The sequence below is a fragment of the Homo sapiens genome, chromosome 15 (genome assembly GCF_000001405.40).
Source record: "Homo sapiens chromosome 15, GRCh38.p14 Primary Assembly".
NCBI classification, from domain to species: Eukaryota; Metazoa; Chordata; class Mammalia; order Primates; family Hominidae; genus Homo; species Homo sapiens.
In genome coordinates this window covers 43,323,649-43,341,215 of record NC_000015.10, presented here as the reverse complement: position 1 = coordinate 43,341,215, position 17,567 = coordinate 43,323,649, and the positions used below count along the sequence as shown (strand labels likewise).

General features: G+C 42.3%; 2 protein-coding genes across 22 annotated transcripts in view, besides 2 other annotated features; one reads left to right on the top strand and one right to left on the bottom strand.

Moving 5' to 3' along the window:
- The window catches only part of MAPDA (N6-Methyl-AMP deaminase), a 24,219-nt gene extending 13,354 nt beyond the window's left edge, over positions 1–10,865 (bottom strand). For 6 of the 21 annotated variants that reach the window (NM_001324366.2, XM_017021968.2, NM_001159280.3 and 3 more), the window contains exons 1-7: positions 10,357–10,544; positions 9,216–9,316; positions 7,782–7,905; positions 6,046–6,271; positions 5,390–5,520; positions 4,530–4,590; positions 864–951 (exon numbers count right to left, since the gene is read on the bottom strand). In NM_001324366.2, the coding sequence (NP_001311295.1) occupies positions 864–951; positions 4,530–4,590; positions 5,390–5,520; positions 6,046–6,108 (343 nt within the window). In that variant the 5' untranslated portion in view covers positions 6,109–6,271; positions 7,782–7,905; positions 9,216–9,316; positions 10,357–10,544. Of the gene's footprint in view, positions 1–863; positions 952–4,529; positions 4,591–5,389; positions 5,521–6,045; positions 6,272–7,781; positions 7,906–9,215; positions 9,317–10,356; positions 10,545–10,648 lie in introns of those variants that run through there. The other 15 variants (XM_017021965.2, XM_047432207.1, XM_047432203.1 and 12 more) reach the window with 5 other exon arrangements.
- Positions 9,785–10,735: an enhancer, noted in NCBI's record as "H3K27ac hESC enhancer chr15:43622679-43623629 (GRCh37/hg19 assembly coordinates)". NCBI's record gives its function as "activates a minimal SCP1, AML or CMV promoter by ChIP-STARR-seq in naive H9 embryonic stem cells {active_cell/tissue: H9 hESC(naive)}" and the evidence as "EXISTENCE:reporter gene assay evidence [ECO:0000049][PMID:30033119]".
- Positions 10,503–10,552: an enhancer, noted in NCBI's record as "active region_9312". NCBI's record gives its function as "activates an Ori minimal core promoter by ATAC-STARR-seq in GM12878 lymphoblastoid cells {active_cell/tissue: GM12878}" and the evidence as "EXISTENCE:reporter gene assay evidence [ECO:0000049][PMID:35858748]".
- LCMT2 (leucine carboxyl methyltransferase 2) lies at positions 10,643–17,567 on the top strand. Its single transcript, NM_014793.5, has one exon. The coding sequence runs from the start codon at positions 10,727–10,729 to the stop codon at positions 12,785–12,787; it is 2,061 nt and encodes a 686-aa protein (NP_055608.2). The 5' UTR covers positions 10,643–10,726; the 3' UTR covers positions 12,788–17,567.

Sequence of the window (17,567 nt, the reverse complement as noted above, 5' to 3'; positions counted from 1 at the left end):
AATAAGTTTCAAAAATTTTACCCCCAAATGATTACTGAGCTACATATATCAGGAAACAAGATGACCTAGGTCTCTTTGGGTCATAAACAAGGTGCTAAGAGGGCCCCAATGTCTCCTGATGCTGCTCTTATAGAAGGAGGATCTCAGGAAATTCCTCCAGATCATAGCCAGATCTCATCTCTATCCAGAGAGGTTTTACCACATCACAGCTTGCTCCTGGCCTAAGAAACTATTCCCTGAGAAGCGAATGAATAACCTACATTTTAGTAACTACCATAAAACATGATTCTGCATCCACTCAATGGCATTGTCTCACAAGTGCCCATGATGCAGGAAGCAAGAATCAGCCTCTGCTTGTAACAATGCAAACATAAGGAGCAGGTATCCTTTTCTCAGAGTGAAAACAACTAAACAAGGAAGAACAAAAGAAACTGCTGCAGGCCTTTGTTTCCTTCCTTAAACAGATAATGCCTGACTGGAATTTTACTACTTTTTACTTAAGAATAACTCACTCATTAATAATGTACATCAGGATGGGCACGGTGGCTCACACCTGTAATCCCAGCACTTTTAGAGGCTGAGGTGATTGTTGGGCCCAGGAGTTTGTGGTTACAGTGAGCTATGTTTGCACCACTGCACTCCAGCCTGGGCAAGACAGCAAGACCCTGTCTCTAAAACAAACAAAATGAACATCATTAATGTACATCAGAGAGAGGACTTGGACTGTTGACTAAAGGTTCAATGAAATACAGAACAACACAATAGTATAAAAGTTAGTGCTTCATATTCCCACTCACAAACATGTGAGTGATCAAAGCACATAGGAAAAGGACAGTACATTTGCTGAGAAGTATAAATTCTACCAGTAGCATTTTCTCTTCTGGGTGTGCTCCTTAGTTCCAGGTACTTGACGCCGTCATCTGCAAATTCTTTTATGACATCTTTTGTGACCTGATAATAAAGATAACGTACACAATATTGATAATGTTTGGGTAAGGGTCCCAATGAATGTGCCAAGTGCTACAGCTTTATTTTATTCATTAAATCTGATTTGCAAGTAATGTTGGAAGTTTCTCACGTGGTAGAGATTATCCACTTTGTCACATCCCTGATGGAGACTATGCAGGGCTGCAATATTTCCAATCACTCCCATCACCCCTCATTCCCACATTCAATCCCAATCTGCACATCAGCTACACCCTTTGCTTCTTTTCCCCCTTTTAAACATTTATTTCCTAGTATTTATAATAGCAGATTGATAAAATAGAGAAATGGTGCAAAACTAAAACCAGCTGGAACCATCTGTATGTGTAGACTGCTAGGAAATGCACATACAGAAATAAACAGCTAAAATGATTAGGTATTACTGATGTGCTATTTGAAGTCATGGCTTAAGGTTTTTATTCAAGTTATTTAGGAATAAGTTACATTTTTCAATAAATTCTGGCAGGGTTAAATTTTCTCGAGAAGTACTTAGGGCAAAGAAAGTAGGTGATAAATATGAGTAAAACTGTATCCAATTTAGTGCAAATCTCAATAATCCAAAAGTTCCTGAAGGATTTCCTGAAGGATGTTTTTCCTTTCTGCCTTCAATCCTAAAAAATCTAGAAGAAAAAAAGGCTAGGTTGGCGAAGCTGTGACAAACTGCCGTAATTAGTCCTTACAGTTGGTATCCTAATCTTAATCTGCTTTGACTACACACACACAAGCATGTGAGTGCAGTGTCCTGGCAAAGCAAGAGGGGCTGGCTGTTCATACATACAGTGCCTAACAGTATGGCACTACCTTGGTGAATTCATAGCAATCCAAGTTGTAGGCCTCTTCTTTTTTCTTTTTCCACTAAAGACAAAAATGAACTTATTATAATGTAAGTGGAATGGGTAGCTCAGTTTCATCAAGAGGTCTAAAGACCCAGATTCTGAGAATACACAGCCAAAGATAATACATCTGCATTCTAAATCACATGAAACTCCAGGACCAAGCAAGATACCACTGCTGCCTCCTCCAAGGAGCATGATACTGCAGCCTCCATGCCATCATGAATGGCATTGGCCCCACGGCACTGCTACTCCAGGAACTCCCTCTTGCTGTCACTGACACCATGAAATTGTGGCCTCACCTTTGTATTAATAGGTTGAGGAATCTGGATCTTGTCACTGCCCCAGAACAGAACAGACCCACACTCAGCTACCCCAGCTCACATGAGACTAATGCAGAAAGCTGTTTGACAACGAGGAATACGGTTGAAGTGAGGGTTTGAAATAGTAGTCCTTTTCAGTGACTACTATCCAAGGCTCCCTCTTTCTGAGTGGCTAGGTACCTGTAAAACCAAATGAACAATGAAAAACTAACAAGTATGGAGCAAGAACAAAGGGAGGAAGATTTATCTAGGCCACAGTGAAGCCTACAGAACCATCCCTAACCCACATCCAAGAACATTTCCCTGGGGTCTACATCTGTGTTTGCCAGATTTAGCCCTTTCTGTGATGTGCAGCAGGTAGTGCGGTAGGTACTGAGAACAGCTCTTTGGGCTTTCCTCTCCTATGCGCTGGACTGAGAATATCTATTCAAATTCTTTTTCCAGACAAAGTACATCACAATTAGTTAAGTTCCTACTTACTCAAACCTCTCTAAGACTGTATAAGCTTGAATGGGAAAGAGCATGAGCTCTGCAACCAGATAGTACTGCCACTTACTCTGTGTGTGTGATCTTAAGCAAGTTACACTTAACCTCTTTAAGCCTATTTTTTCATCTACAAAAAGGGAACAATAAAAATACCTACTTCTGAAAGTAGTCCTAAGAATAATGTCTGGTACATGTAATAACAAGTATCATTTTTTCAGCCACACTCCAATCCTCTCTTTGAGATTATACCCAGGTCACCTTGACTAGAGTTTTAAGTGATCTCCCTCACACTCAGTTCTACATTTACAATCTCTTAGTTTATCCTCATAGACGTTTCATTTATCATATGGGGCACCCCATTGTCACCCTCTGAACCACCTAGTAGCACTAGGTCAAATGCACAGAATCTTCTCACTTCATTTAATAAAGCTTTTCAACTTTCATTTTGAAATGAATGTAGCAACAAGCATGCCATTAATATACCCATAGAGTATTAAACTGTCAAAGTTTCAATTTAATCATTTTGCTCTATAACACTCATCAACAAAGTGAGACCAGGGCCCCTGTGGTGGATATTCTTAGCTATGTTCAATGGTATCTTTTGAGACGCTGCTTAGAGAATGCCCTTTTGGTTCCCTATAAATCCTTATGTGTGTGTCTAATGCAGAGCTTACCACACTATGTTGCAGTATCTGCTTATGGGTCTGTCTCTCCAACCTAATTATAAATTTCTCAGGGGCAGAAACTGTGTCAATCTCTCTCAGACTTTAGCACAGTGCCTGGAACATTGTGGGCACTCAGTCAACTTTTGTTGAATGAAACTATTAGAGTTACCTCTCCTCTAAAAGGTGCTTAATTTACTTACCACTTATCATGAAGATCAGTCTTTACCAAAGAGGAAAATTTTTGCTTGATCAGTCAAAAGTTACCTCTCCAGAAACAGGTTATACTTTCTTTGCATTTTTTTTCTACTGGTTAAGATCACTGACACAATTTTGCTTCTCTCCATTTAGAAAGAGAACATTTTAAAATGCCATCCTAGTCAGATCAATGATACAGAAGACAATCTTCCATGTCAGACTCTAGTATCATGGAGCTTCAGATAAGAGAACACAGTGGTATCCTTTGTGCCCTCAGAGGGAAAGCACAATTTCCCTAGGGATTAATCACTTACTCTCTAAGCTCTTCTTGAACTTCTTCCTTCTCTATAATGTCCACCCATACAGTAAGTCTCCTATGTAATACAGACAATGCCTTATTAAGGATATCCCCATCTGTGGTCTAATACTTCTCTTTTTTTTTTTTTTTTTTTTTGAGACGGAGTCTCGCTCTGTTGCCCAGGCTGGAGTGCGGTGGCGCGATCTCGGCTCTCCGCAAGCTCCACCTCCCGGGTTCACATCATTCTCCTACCTCAGCCTCCCGAGTAGCTGGGACTACAGGCACCCGCCACCATGCCCGGCTAATTTTTTTTTTTTTTGTATTTTTAGTAGAGACAGGGTTTCACCGTGTTAGCCAGGATGGTCTCCAACTCCTGACCTTGTGATCCGCCCACCTCGGCCTCCCAGAGTGCTGGGATTACAGGCGTGAGCCACCACGCCCAGCCCTAATATTTCATATATGTATGTTATATATGAAAAACAGGACCAAATTTTCTCTTCCATATCATCCTCTATCCTATAGAAGATGCTCTTCATGGTTCTTTCCTCATATCTTTTACAAGAAACACAGTTTTTCTGTACTAGCTCTTAGGCAAATGACTTACATAGGTTTTGAAGAGTTGCCATAATAGAGAAAACATTTTTCATCACTCTTAATGAGAGCAAAAATGAAAGGCCATGTGCAATAATGGAAGGAAATTACTTCATAATTTTTAAACCATTCTAAAAATTCCTTCATGTCTTACCATTAGAATATCTTCAGGGCTACTAGTAAGCTGATGAATAGTTTGAAACATCTGGAAACATCTGCAACATGAATGAAAAGTTTTAACATAATCTAGTCATCAAAGAAACTCACTAACTGAATGAATTAAATTTTAGGCTAATAGTAAATATATATTTATATTTACAAAGAACTACAGAATAGATGTTTCAAAAATTACATTGATCTGGAAAGATAATCAAATGATAGAAAATAAAACATTACTGATATTTTTAAGTGGGAAATAATAGTACCCCTTCTCCAACCCACACCTGACATGGGGAAATTCAATATGCCTATATTTTCAAATCTAAAGACTATCACATGCTGGGTATAATGGCTCATGCCTGTAATCCCAGAACTTTAAGAAGCCAAGGCGAGTGGATAGCTTGAGGCCAGGAGTTTGAGACCAGCCTGGGCAACATAGGGAGACCCCCATCTCTAAAAAAATTAAAAAAACATTAGCCAGTCATGGTGGCGTGCACCTGTGGTCCCAGCTACTTGGGATGCTAAGATAGGAGGACTGCTTGAGCCCCAGAGGTCAAGGCAGCAGTGATCTGTGGTCACGCCACTGCACTCCAGTCTAGGCAACAAAGTGAGATCCTGTCTCAAAAAAAGAAAAGAAAGAATATCCCAATATAACTTCACAAACAACAGAAATCACTAGAAATACTGTCAACAGTCTAACAGCTGGAAAAAAATGTTGTATGTTAAGATATATGCTCCACACCACATGCCAACCCTATTTCTGTTTACCAAAATCTGAATTCTTACATACTACTTACAATCTCAAAATACTGATAGAGAAAAAAAGGAGTATGTCCACAACCTCCCCACACTTACTCTTCCAAAGTTCTTTTCTTTCCCTTGTCAATCACAGTCATCTGATCGTGGATTTTAAGATCTGGCTTCTGGGCTATTAATTTCTTCATGGTATGAGAACTAATGGATCCATTCAAGTGGGCATGAAGTTCCTAAGAGATACAACCAGTAAAACTTATCAAATATCCAATAGATTCATAGCATCTTACCAAGTACTTAATGTTGGTAGTTTGCAATAGGCAAACTGCTTACTAGATTTAGCTACATAATAAAGTTTACAAATTTTGCCTACAAAATTTACTTTTTCTTTTTTTGAGATGGAGTCTCCCTCTGTCACCCAGGCTGGAGTACACTGGTGCGATCTCAGCTCACTGTAACCTCCGATTCCTGGGTTCAAGCGATTCTCCTGCCTCCGCCTCCTGAGTAGCTGGGACTACAGGCATGCCACCAAGCCCAGCGAATTTTTGTATTTTTAGTAGAGATGGGGTTTTGCCATGTTGGCCAGTCTAGTCTCAAACTCCTGACCTCAGGTGAATCCACCCGCCTTGGCCTCCCAAAGCGCCAGAATTTCAGGCATGAGCCACTGCGCCCAGCCAAAATTTACTTTGATGAAAAGAAGCAACATCAAAGTCATTATAATTAGCAACCACTCAAGATTTCTGTAGTTGAATTCTCACCACTTTTGGCAATTCAGAATAGAAGTCTGTCTTGCAAGGCTGTTGCTCTTCTGCCTCTATCATTTTAGCAGGAAAAAAATGATTCTTCTCCACTCTTATTCTTAGTATGAGCAATATGATGTATTTCAGTCAGTAAATTGTATGGTACTGAATTTCCTTCAGATTGCTTTACTTCCACACATTTTGGTAAGATTAGCTGTATGTGTAGATCTGGGTTCAGCTTCACCTATTTTAACAAATGTTAATATTTTCAGATGTAAAAGCAAAGAAACAGGATTTTGTTAATTTTTTCTTTAAAAGGCAAAAGCTCCTCTAAAACTAACTTAAGTGTGTCTAAGGTGGGAAAACGATTAGTAAACAACATAAACTGGAAACAGGAAAAGACCTCAAGCTTATAAGAGGTGTACTAAAACCTGACATTTAGTAGAGTATATTCCTTAACTATTGGCACCTTCTATACAACGACTTCAAAAATTCAAAATTTTATAAGGCCTACTTTGGATAAAATATATATATATATATATATATATATATATAATTTTTTTGAGACAGTCTCCCTCTGTCACCCAGGCTGGAGTACACTGGCATGGTCTCAGCTCACTGCAGCCTCTATCTCCTGGGTTCAAGTGATTCTCCTGCCTCAGCTTCCCAAGTAGCTGGGATTACAGGTACATGCCACCACACCTGGCCAATTTTTGTATTTTTAATAGAGACAGGGTCTCACCATGTTGGCCAGGCTGGTCTCGAACTCCTGACCTCAAGTGATCCACCCGCCTCAGCCTCCCAAAGTGCTAGGATTACAGGCATGAGCCACCATGCCCGGCCAAAAATAAAATTTTAAATTTTGAATTGTTTAAAATATATAAAAGAAGAACAGAGGTGCTGGCATTAGATGGACCTAGGTTTGTCCTTTTACCAGCTCTACAGGTTAGAAGCTGTGTGGCCTTAGTCACTCACCTTCATGGCTTCAGTTTCTTTATTTACAAAAATGGGATTAAAAATGCAAAGTAGCAGTGACGATTAATAAAGTATTTTAAATTCCCCTCATCTATGTTCCCACATGAGCCAGTCACTGCCTTTAACTCAGCATTTAATCACACTGATATCTCAATCACTGATATACTTGTCTTTCTCTCTCACCAGACTGTAAGTTCCTTGAGGACAGGTCCTTTGAATTATTCCACCACTCTAACACTTAGCACAGTGCCTAGCACACTGTAGGTGATAAATCAATCATAATTTCCCTTCACTTCTGAAAGTGGTTTATAAGTGAAGATAAAATTCCAAGTGAAATTTAGTGATTTTCAAACTAGCCACCTTGACTCTCTGGGTTCTCACGTATTAATGAGGATGATGTTTAAGAATAACAGTTTCCATGTATTTGGAACCTAACAGGTATGTGACAAGCGCTTTTAATAATGTTATCTTTAATCCTTGAAATAACTTTGTGAAATATTACTGTATTGAAAATCAATAAATTGATACTGAGTGGGGTTAAATAAGTTACCAAGATATTAAAATGTACAATAAAGAAAGTAGTTTGTATAGGACTAAACATAGCCATAGAAATCCATAGAAAGGCCTACTTAGTATGAGATAAACATGGCATTTCAAAGTAATGCCATAGTAAGTGCTTAATAAATAGTAAAAAATGAAAAAGATGGACTATTTAATCAATGGCATTTAATATCTCTACCGAAAAACATAAATGATTTAATTAAAATGGAAAAACATACCTTTTTTTTTTTTTCTTTTGAGACAGGATCTTACTTTGTTGCCCAGGCTGGAGTGCAGTGTCACGATCACAGCTTGCTGCAGTCTCAAGCTTCCAGACTCAAGCGATCCTCCCACTTCAGCCTCCTAAGCAGCAGAGATCACAGGCATGCACCACAATGCCCATCTAATTTTATATAAAATTTTTTTTGTAGAGACGGGGTCTCACCATGTTGCCCAGGCTGGTCTCAAACTCCTGGGCTCAAGTGATCCACCAGCCTGAGCTGGGATTACAGGAGCGAGCCACTGCGCCCGGCCAGATTTTCAATTTTACTCCAGGATCCTGACCTTAATTTGTGCCCCATTCAAACCATCCTCCAGACTGACCTTTAACTAGCTGTGAGTAAATTTACTGACCCACTGGCTACAATGTTAACCTATGGAAATTAAAAAGCAACTAAGCAATCATAATCTTTACACATTAAAAAAAATTGTTGTTCCTTGCCTAAAACATGGATACCAACAACAGCATGCCATGACAAATTTAACTTTTCTGGACTGGTTTTGCTCTGGGACGGAAGGCAACAAACACTGGGATAAGATCCACGTTAGTAATACTTCATCAATATTAGAGCAGGGCCAGAAGCAAGTATCCTGTCTCCCAGGGAACTTTTTTCATGCTCCCACCTACTCCCCCAAAAGGGAACTCAGAATAAAAAAAAATTTGTTACTGTTTATTATGCACTTACCATGAGCCAGGCACTGTGGTGTCTTAGATAGTTATTTTGTTTAAATCCTCACAACAACCCCTGAGATATTATTATCCCCATTTTATATAAGAATAAACTGAGATTTAAACAATGGCCCCTCCTCCCCCGGCCTAAATCATAAGGCATCGAAATCAGAAATTTTACTCCATTCTCTTTCTTCTTTAATTACTTTTCTTGATCTGGTCTTTGCAAAACAAGTAGTATTTTTGACATAACACCTACATTTTAGGAACCTGTCATTAAATAAATTTGTTTCTATGGTGCTACGTATTTTTCAAAGTCCTTCAACTTTTTTTTTTTTTCTATTTGCCCCTCAATCAACCCTGAGATACCTCACGAAGCAGTACTTAATCTCATTTTAGAGGTGAGGATCCACTGACCCAGCAGGCATAGGTGAGCCCTTCTTCTAATCCCTTCAGAAGCAATTCTCAAACTGCTCAAATGTTCCATCAGATCTGAATGCCTTACACTAAACTGACAACTCTGTCACCAACTTTACAGAGAAAACAGAAGCCATCAGGTGCAAATTCCTTCTTTTTCTCTCTGCCCTACCTCACACCTGAGCTTATGATTATCCATAATCTTTTTTTTACCCCATCAGGAGTCACAGATAAAGGATTCATTCTCCTATCCCCACAACTAATACGTGCCCAGGATCCCATTTCTATCTATTCCAAGTTACTCTACCAGTGAGTTGTCTTCTCATTTTTCTGTTCCTTCAACCTCTCCCTCTCCACTAGCTGGTTTCCCTCACAGGACCAACACGCATGTGCAGTATTTGCTTCCACCTGAAAACAAAACAAAAGACTCTTTTATCCCACAATATTCTTTAGCCACTGCCCTGACCCTTTTTTCCTTCTGAGTTAAGCTCCTCGAAAGTATAATAATTTAGACTGGATACCTCCTTTAACTCACCTCCTATTCACTGAAACATGGATTCTGCCCTTATTGCTCCACAGAAACTGCTCTCCCTAAGGCCATTAATGAGCTTTTAAACACCAAATCTAAATGTCACTTTTCAATTACCGAATCTTTATCCTGATCCAAACCTTTTCTTTCTTATTTCATTTTGTTCCACAAGAAAACATTGGAAAATACGAAACTTTTTCTTGACTCCAGTATCCAAATCTGCTGGACTCCAAAACTCACACTCTTAACCATTATGCAGTACCACCTGTAGTTAACCATAAAGTTATCTGATTTCCTTTTCTATTTCAGCCAGTCAGTCACCAAATCCCAGTGAACAAATGATAAATTTCCTAAATGTCTCTGGAAGTGGTTTCCTATGGATGACTCCCAGACACCCAATTTAGAAACTTTATGATTATTCTGAAGTCTAACCTGGATTTACTCCTTAAAAACAAAGCTCAGAACATATCACAGGGAACAATCACCTCTCTTCAGTGACTCCCCTTTCTGGGGACATATTCAACACTACTTTAAAATCCACAGAATTCTCCAAGGCGGTGTGATGAGAAAGAGAGGCTGAGTGGTTTATTCACCGTCAGTCTAACATAGGGCTGGGAATACAAGGGAATCAACAGTCTACTATCTGTGGGGAAACGTCTTCTTGTTAGGTGTCTATAAATTATTTGTAAAGGTCGGTTTCTTCAGTTTGCACCCTGGCCTTAGTGACTTGTTTTCAAGTTTTAAATGGGGTTCTCTTTTGCAACTGTGAGAGCATTAAATAAATCAGCAACTATTAGCACCCAAGGAAGCTAACTAATCCTTGCCTACTGAAGGTCCGTGGTGCCGACCCTTCTTGGCTCCTACCAGACCCTTCCTTGGCGGTCCAAGGAAGCCAAGTCGTCAGTCCCCACAGACTCACCTCTTAGAGATTTCTCAACTACAAGGACTTAGGCAAGGTTTCCCTTTTGACTGGAAGGCTTGTAGAAACGTGACAACCCGCCTTCCCTAACACTCATGTCACAGCGGTAGCGGACCGTATTCTGGGACAAATGGAACTCACGACATTCCAAAGAAAGGTCAGCCGCAAGCGAACTTAGCACTGGCTACACCCTCCTCAATTCTGGTTGGCGAGATGCGCTCTTCCCGGAAGTGACGCACAAGTGCCGGCGGAAGGGGAAGTCCAGGAGCATGGGTGGTTTTTTTCCCCCTACCGAGGTCCGTGAGGTGTGTGCTAACCAAGGGGCGGCTCACAACCGTGACAGACTGCCATTCCTGAGTCTCTTCTGGCCATGGGCCCCCGGAGCCGTGAGCGTCGGGCAGGCGCGGTACAGAACACCAACGACAGCAGCGCCCTCAGCAAGCGTTCCCTGGCCGCGCGCGGGTACGTGCAGGACCCCTTTGCCGCGTTGCTGGTTCCGGGCGCGGCGCGCCGCGCACCGCTCATTCACCGAGGCTACTACGTCCGCGCACGCGCCGTGAGGCACTGCGTGCGCGCTTTTTTGGAGCAGATTGGCGCGCCCCAGGCCGCGCTTCGCGCGCAGATCTTGTCTCTCGGCGCTGGCTTCGACTCGCTCTATTTTCGCTTAAAAACCGCGGGCCGCCTGGCCCGGGCTGCAGTCTGGGAGGTGGATTTTCCGGACGTGGCGCGGCGCAAAGCAGAAAGGATTGGAGAGACGCCAGAGCTGTGCGCGTTAACCGGGCCTTTCGAGAGGGGGGAGCCCGCGTCCGCGCTGTGCTTTGAGAGCGCAGACTACTGCATCCTGGGTCTGGACTTGCGGCAGCTCCAGCGAGTGGAGGAGGCCCTGGGCGCCGCGGGGCTCGACGCAGCCTCACCCACTCTGCTCCTGGCCGAGGCGGTGCTGACCTACCTCGAGCCGGAGAGTGCCGCGGCCCTCATCGCCTGGGCAGCCCAGCGTTTTCCTAATGCCCTTTTCGTGGTCTATGAGCAGATGAGGCCTCAAGACGCCTTTGGCCAGTTCATGCTGCAACATTTTCGGCAGCTAAACTCCCCCCTGCATGGCCTGGAGCGTTTTCCTGACGTGGAGGCGCAGCGGCGCCGCTTCCTTCAAGCTGGCTGGACCGCCTGCGGTGCCGTGGACATGAATGAATTCTATCACTGCTTTCTTCCCGCAGAAGAACGCCGGCGGGTGGAAAATATTGAACCCTTTGACGAATTTGAGGAGTGGCATCTGAAGTGCGCCCATTATTTCATTCTGGCAGCTTCTAGGGGAGACACCCTCTCCCACACCCTAGTGTTTCCATCCTCAGAGGCATTTCCTCGCGTAAATCCTGCTTCGCCTTCAGGGGTATTCCCTGCCAGCGTAGTCAGTAGCGAGGGCCAGGTCCCAAACCTGAAGAGATATGGCCACGCCTCTGTCTTCTTGAGCCCAGACGTTATTCTCAGTGCAGGAGGATTTGGAGAGCAGGAGGGGCGGCACTGCCGAGTGAGCCAGTTTCACTTGCTCTCAAGAGATTGTGACTCTGAATGGAAAGGCAGCCAAATAGGCAGTTGTGGGACTGGAGTTCAGTGGGATGGACGCCTTTATCACACCATGACAAGACTCTCAGAGAGTCGGGTTCTGGTTCTGGGAGGGAGACTGTCCCCAGTAAGTCCAGCCTTGGGGGTTCTCCAGCTTCATTTTTTTAAGAGTGAGGATAATAACACTGAGGACCTGAAAGTGACAATAACAAAGGCTGGCCGAAAGGATGATTCCACTTTGTGTTGTTGGCGGCATTCAACAACAGAAGTGTCCTGTCAGAATCAGGAATATTTGTTTGTGTATGGGGGTCGAAGCGTGGTGGAACCTGTACTAAGTGACTGGCATTTCCTCCATGTAGGGACAATGGCTTGGGTCAGGATCCCAGTGGAGGGAGAAGTACCTGAAGCCCGGCATTCTCACAGTGCCTGCACTTGGCAAGGGGGAGCCCTTATTGCTGGAGGTCTCGGGGCTTCTGAGGAGCCATTGAACTCTGTGCTCTTTCTGAGACCAATCTCTTGTGGATTCCTCTGGGAGTCAGTAGACATCCAGCCTCCCATTACCCCAAGGTACTCCCACACAGCTCATGTGCTCAATGGAAAGCTGTTACTGGTTGGAGGGATCTGGATTCATTCCTCCTCATTTCCTGGAGTGACTGTGATCAATTTGACTACAGGATTGAGCTCTGAGTATCAGATTGACACAACATATGTGCCATGGCCATTAATGTTACACAACCATACTAGTATCCTTCTTCCTGAAGAGCAACAGCTCCTGCTCCTTGGAGGTGGTGGGAACTGCTTTTCCTTTGGTACCTACTTCAACCCCCATACAGTCACATTAGACCTTTCTTCCTTAAGTGCTGGGCAGTAAGGACTGGACTAATATTCAGGACCCACTAAAGTAGACAATAAAGTTTTCCACAAATAGGATGACCCTCTAGCTATAGATACTGCCACTCCTCCTTTCCCCATCCTTTTTTTCCCTTAGCACTATTCAGTGCAAAAAGTGAAAAAGGTTGGTAAAATAGGTAAAATACCTAGAAACAATCACTACAGAAAACAGCTGAAGACAGTGGCCATGCAGTCCGAGAGGAGTAGTGGTCTGCCTCTAATTTTCTAATCTAAGTTCGTTTATTGAGTTACAGTGGTCTTTAGTAAAGTAAAACAATTTCCCAATCCCAGGCCTTGTGATTTGAGATGGTACCTTAGAAAAAGTTACACGCAGTTCCGTGGTTGAATATATTTGAGATGGTACCTTAGAAAAAGTTTCACGCAGATCCTTGGTTGAATATAGTTGAGGGAGCGTAGTATTGACAATTCTTCATGTAGGAAACCTGAAATGAACACAGTCACAGTTTGATTAAAACATTGTCCTGTTTGTTGCAACAGAAAACTCGGATAGTTTTAACAACAGGAAACACTTGTAGGACTTCCTTTACCAACATACTTTTTAAATGTTTTGCTATTGGTTCCATATTTATTTAGATTTATAAGTGTCAATAAAGCAAACTTTTGATGCCTCAATTCATTTTGCACGGGGTATAATAATGTTTTGTTCCAGATATACTCTCCACCTTTCACTGTTCTGTGCTCCAAGAGGCTGACCTTTATGGGCTGCATCAAGGAGCTCTCTTTACTTTTTGGTTGAGTTCCACCAGTCAGAGGCACCAGAGGGGAATGGGGGCAAAAAGAAGAGTGAGAGTGAGTTGGTATTTATTCCCAATTCTTCCCCTGTTGGTTTGCAAGTTGGCAGTGGCAGCATTCTTCTGTCAAAGGCTACAGCTCCTGCCGTGTAATCCTTTCCTGAAGACAGAGTTCTAATTCTGCATCATCCCAGGTTTCAGTAATTGTTCCTTTACTTCACCTTTTCAGGCCTAGGAGTTGTGATGGCTCTTTGCTAGACCTGAACTGTACTGTCCAATGTGGTAGCTATTGACAACATGTGACTATTTAAACGAATTAATAAATTCAGTGGCTTAGTCACATTGACCACATTTTAAGTGCTTAATAACTATGTGTGGCTTTGGCTACTGTATTAGACAATGTAGATGTAGAACATTTCATCGTTACAGAAATTTCTACTGGACACTGCTGACTGGATATCTTGACTTGGTTTCCCTTAACCCTACTCAGCCCCTTATAGTTAGCATCCCATTAAACTCAATTATCCCTTTTAAATGGGAATCTGTTGCCTAGTGAGCCATGTGAGATCAATGAAATAGCTATTCATCCTTAAAATTTGAGCCTTAATTTGTCATCTAAATTATGCATACCTTGTGAAATATACACCTCAAAAAATGTAGTGGCTTTGGTGGTAATAAGTGTATTACTTTAGTATTTCTTCTTAGTCCTAGAAACCTTAGTAGTTTTCATTCTACAAGTGCCTAAATGATTATTATGAACCATCATTGATGACAAATTGCATCCTTTATTTCTATTAATTTTGCATATAAATGGATGTGAAAGGTGATTAATATAAAAACCAAGTAGCAAACACAAACCTAAGTGTATGGAGAGGACAGTCTTGGCTCTGTTAGATGAAGCCTCCCCGGGGGAGACCAGCTGAATGAGGGTTGTGGTATAGGCTGGGCATGGTGGCTCACGCCTATAATTCCAGCACTTTGGGAGGCCAAGACAGAAGGATCACTTAAAGCCAGGAGTTTAAGACCAGCCCAGGCAACAAAGTCAGATCCCCATCTCTACAAAAAAATAAGTAGGCACGGTGGTGTGTGCTTGTAGTCTTGGATACTCTGGAGGCTGAGGTGATAGTGAGCTGTGATTGTGCCACTGCACTCCTGCCTGGTTGACAGAGTGAGACCCCGTCTCTTAAAAAGAAAAAAAAAAAAGGTTGTTGTCCAACTTCAGCTTTCCTGAGACTTTGTAAGAGCCATTTCTAGGGAAAGCATTGGTTATGGCTATGACTGAGTCCTGGGAAACAGGGCTTATTACAGCTGGGAAGACATCTGGCAAGGCGATCAGTGGGCCAGGTAGTAGAAAACTGGCAGGGAATATGATCAGCAGGAGAAAATGGCTGTTCTGTATTTCCTGTTTCTAAGTTTACTACAGCACACCCCAGCTTTCAGGAGCAGATAAAAGCAGAACACTGTGATGAGGCCAGGCGCAGTGGCACATGCCTTGATCCCAGCACTTTGGGAGGCCAAGGCTGGCAGATCACTTGAACTCAGGAGTTGGAGACCAGCCTGGCCAATATGGTGAAACTCCGTCTCTACCCAAAAAAAAAAAAAAAAAAAAAAAAAAAAAAAAATTATCCATCTATCTATATATACAAAGATTAGCCAGGGATGGTGGCGCATGCCTGTAGTCCCAGCTACTCAGGTACTGAGGTGGGAGGATTACTTGAGCCTGGCAGGTCGAGCCAAGATCATGCAACTGCTCTCCAGCTTGGGTGACAGAGTGAGACCCTGTCTCTAGTAATAACAACACTGTAATGAAATGAGTGTTCTCAGCTATGTAGTAGAGTGTACCAGAATTCAAACCTAGATCTAACTCCAAAGCCCAGGTTACACCTTCCACTATGATGCTGCTTACATCATGCCATCAGCCATTATTTCATTACTTTTGGGGGGAAAAGAAGGGAGGAGGGAGGTCATCTAGAGAATGTGGACGTGTGCCAGACCTAAATTAGGAGTGCAATAGTGCCTATTCTCTTGAGCACTGTCCATTAGGGCGCCTTATGAGTAACAGGGCTTGTTCTCCCGAGAGAAATTACCCACATTTCCTATAAGTGATTACCAGATTAAGCATGCCCTCCACCTCTAACTGAGCATCATGCTCAGTTAAGGAATTATTCATCTCTCGAGCTCTACTCATTAGAGCACTTAGAAGTATTGTCAGCAATATTTACCCTGTGCCTTTGGAGCAGCATTCAATATAGACTAGCGTTGAACCACAGTTTCATTAACAGTAATCTGCACAGTTGGAGGTGTGAGCCAGATTGAGAACCAAAGCTGGATAATAATTCTTGCTTCTCCATTTCACTTTTGAAGTTTTTGTTCTAAAATTCTGATACGGAGCTCTGGAGTAGTTATGAGAGTTAATGAACAGGTCTCTTCCTCTTTTAGGGATTACTTCTAGACCAGATAAACTACTTAAGGAAGGAAAGTAATTTCTTATTTTGAATCTCCACTCTGGGTCAGGGTTTCAAAAATAGTGTATCATAATAGTGAAGATGAAAACAGGTTAAGAACAACTGTTGGAGGATATGCTCTTCAAGGCCAGTGCTGTTGCTTCTTTTTGTACTTTCTGAGTTTTAAAACTGAGTGCCCGTTTTTCATCTTTCTGGAGCTTTAAGTCTTCTTAATGATCTTTGGGAGATGGTATGTATCCAATATGTTCCAGGACCCAGGTGTTTCCTTGGTCTTTTTCAGTGATCTCAGACCTTGAAGTCCTAGCTTATTCCATATGTATTTTGTGATCACAAACCCAACCTCAAGCAGCCCATGCTTACCCTGGGACTTATCCCACATGTCATCTCCTGGAAAACAGCCCTATATGACTGCCCCAAATGGAACCAACCGCTTTCTCCCTGTGCAAGAGAAGCCTTTGAAGAGAAGCTCTTTGAAGAGTTTGGTGAATAAAAGAACTAGTTAATAAGGTGAGGTTTTTTGGGTTTGTTTGTTTGTTTGTTTGTTTGTTTGCTTTTTGTTTTTTGTTTTGAGACGGAGTCTTGCTCTGTTGCCCAGGCTAGAGTGCAGTGGCTCGATCTCGGCTCACTGCAACCTCCACCTCCTGGGTTCAAGTGATTCTCCTGCCTCGGCTTCCGGAGTAGCTGGAATTACAGGTGCGCACCACCATGCCCGGCTAATTTTTTTTTTATTTATTTTTAGTAGAGATGGGGTTTCACCATGTTGGTCAGGCTGGTATCCAACTCCTGACCTCAAGTGATCTGCCCGCCTCGGCCTCCCAAAGTGCTGAGATTACAGGCGTGAGCCACCATGCCTGGCCTAGGTGGGTTTTTAACCATAGGGACAGTCCAATAATGTCTAGTTTGACTTTAAGATTAAGCCTTTTAACTTCAGTAATGAAGGAAGGGGTGTAAAATAGCATTAAGCCGGCAAGTTAGGTCATGTAACTTGGCTAATCACATTAGACTTGATGTTTAAAGAGAGAAGGAGAGTGTGTAGAGCAGGAATTATGAAATTTATAATCAGCTTTAGAGTAGGCTGAGATTTCCTTGGATGTCAATAATTATGAGTAAACAAGAATTCTGTCATCCCACATGTAAGTAAGCAGTTACAAGACTGCTTACTTATCTGTCTTGGACATTGATAGAAAGCACATGATTGGGAAGGGGCAGTTCCTTGACTGAGGGAAGGAATTGTGTCTGGTTCACTTTTCTATCACCAACATAGTAGATGCTCAACAAATACTTGTTGGATAGAGGTCCACTCTTGTACTCAAATAAATTATATTTGAATATTACTATAGTTCTTATGCACAAACTGATGTCAATAACTCCTGTAATTGTTGTGTATGTGTGTGTGTCAGGGGGAGGTAAGCATTAAAATTTTAAAGAACCCACAGTTTAAGAGTCTTTGGAAATACATTCAACTTTTCTGACCCAGGTAAAGGTGGTAGACTTTCTGGTGTCATTTCTATCTTTATGGAATAAACCTGAACCTTCTCCCTGA

What these genes read in the sequence shown, in the direction of transcription:
- LCMT2 (NM_014793.5), top strand. Translation starts at nt 10,727, where the DNA reads ATGGGCCCCCGGAGCCGTGAGCGTCGGGCAGGCGCGGTACAGAACACC.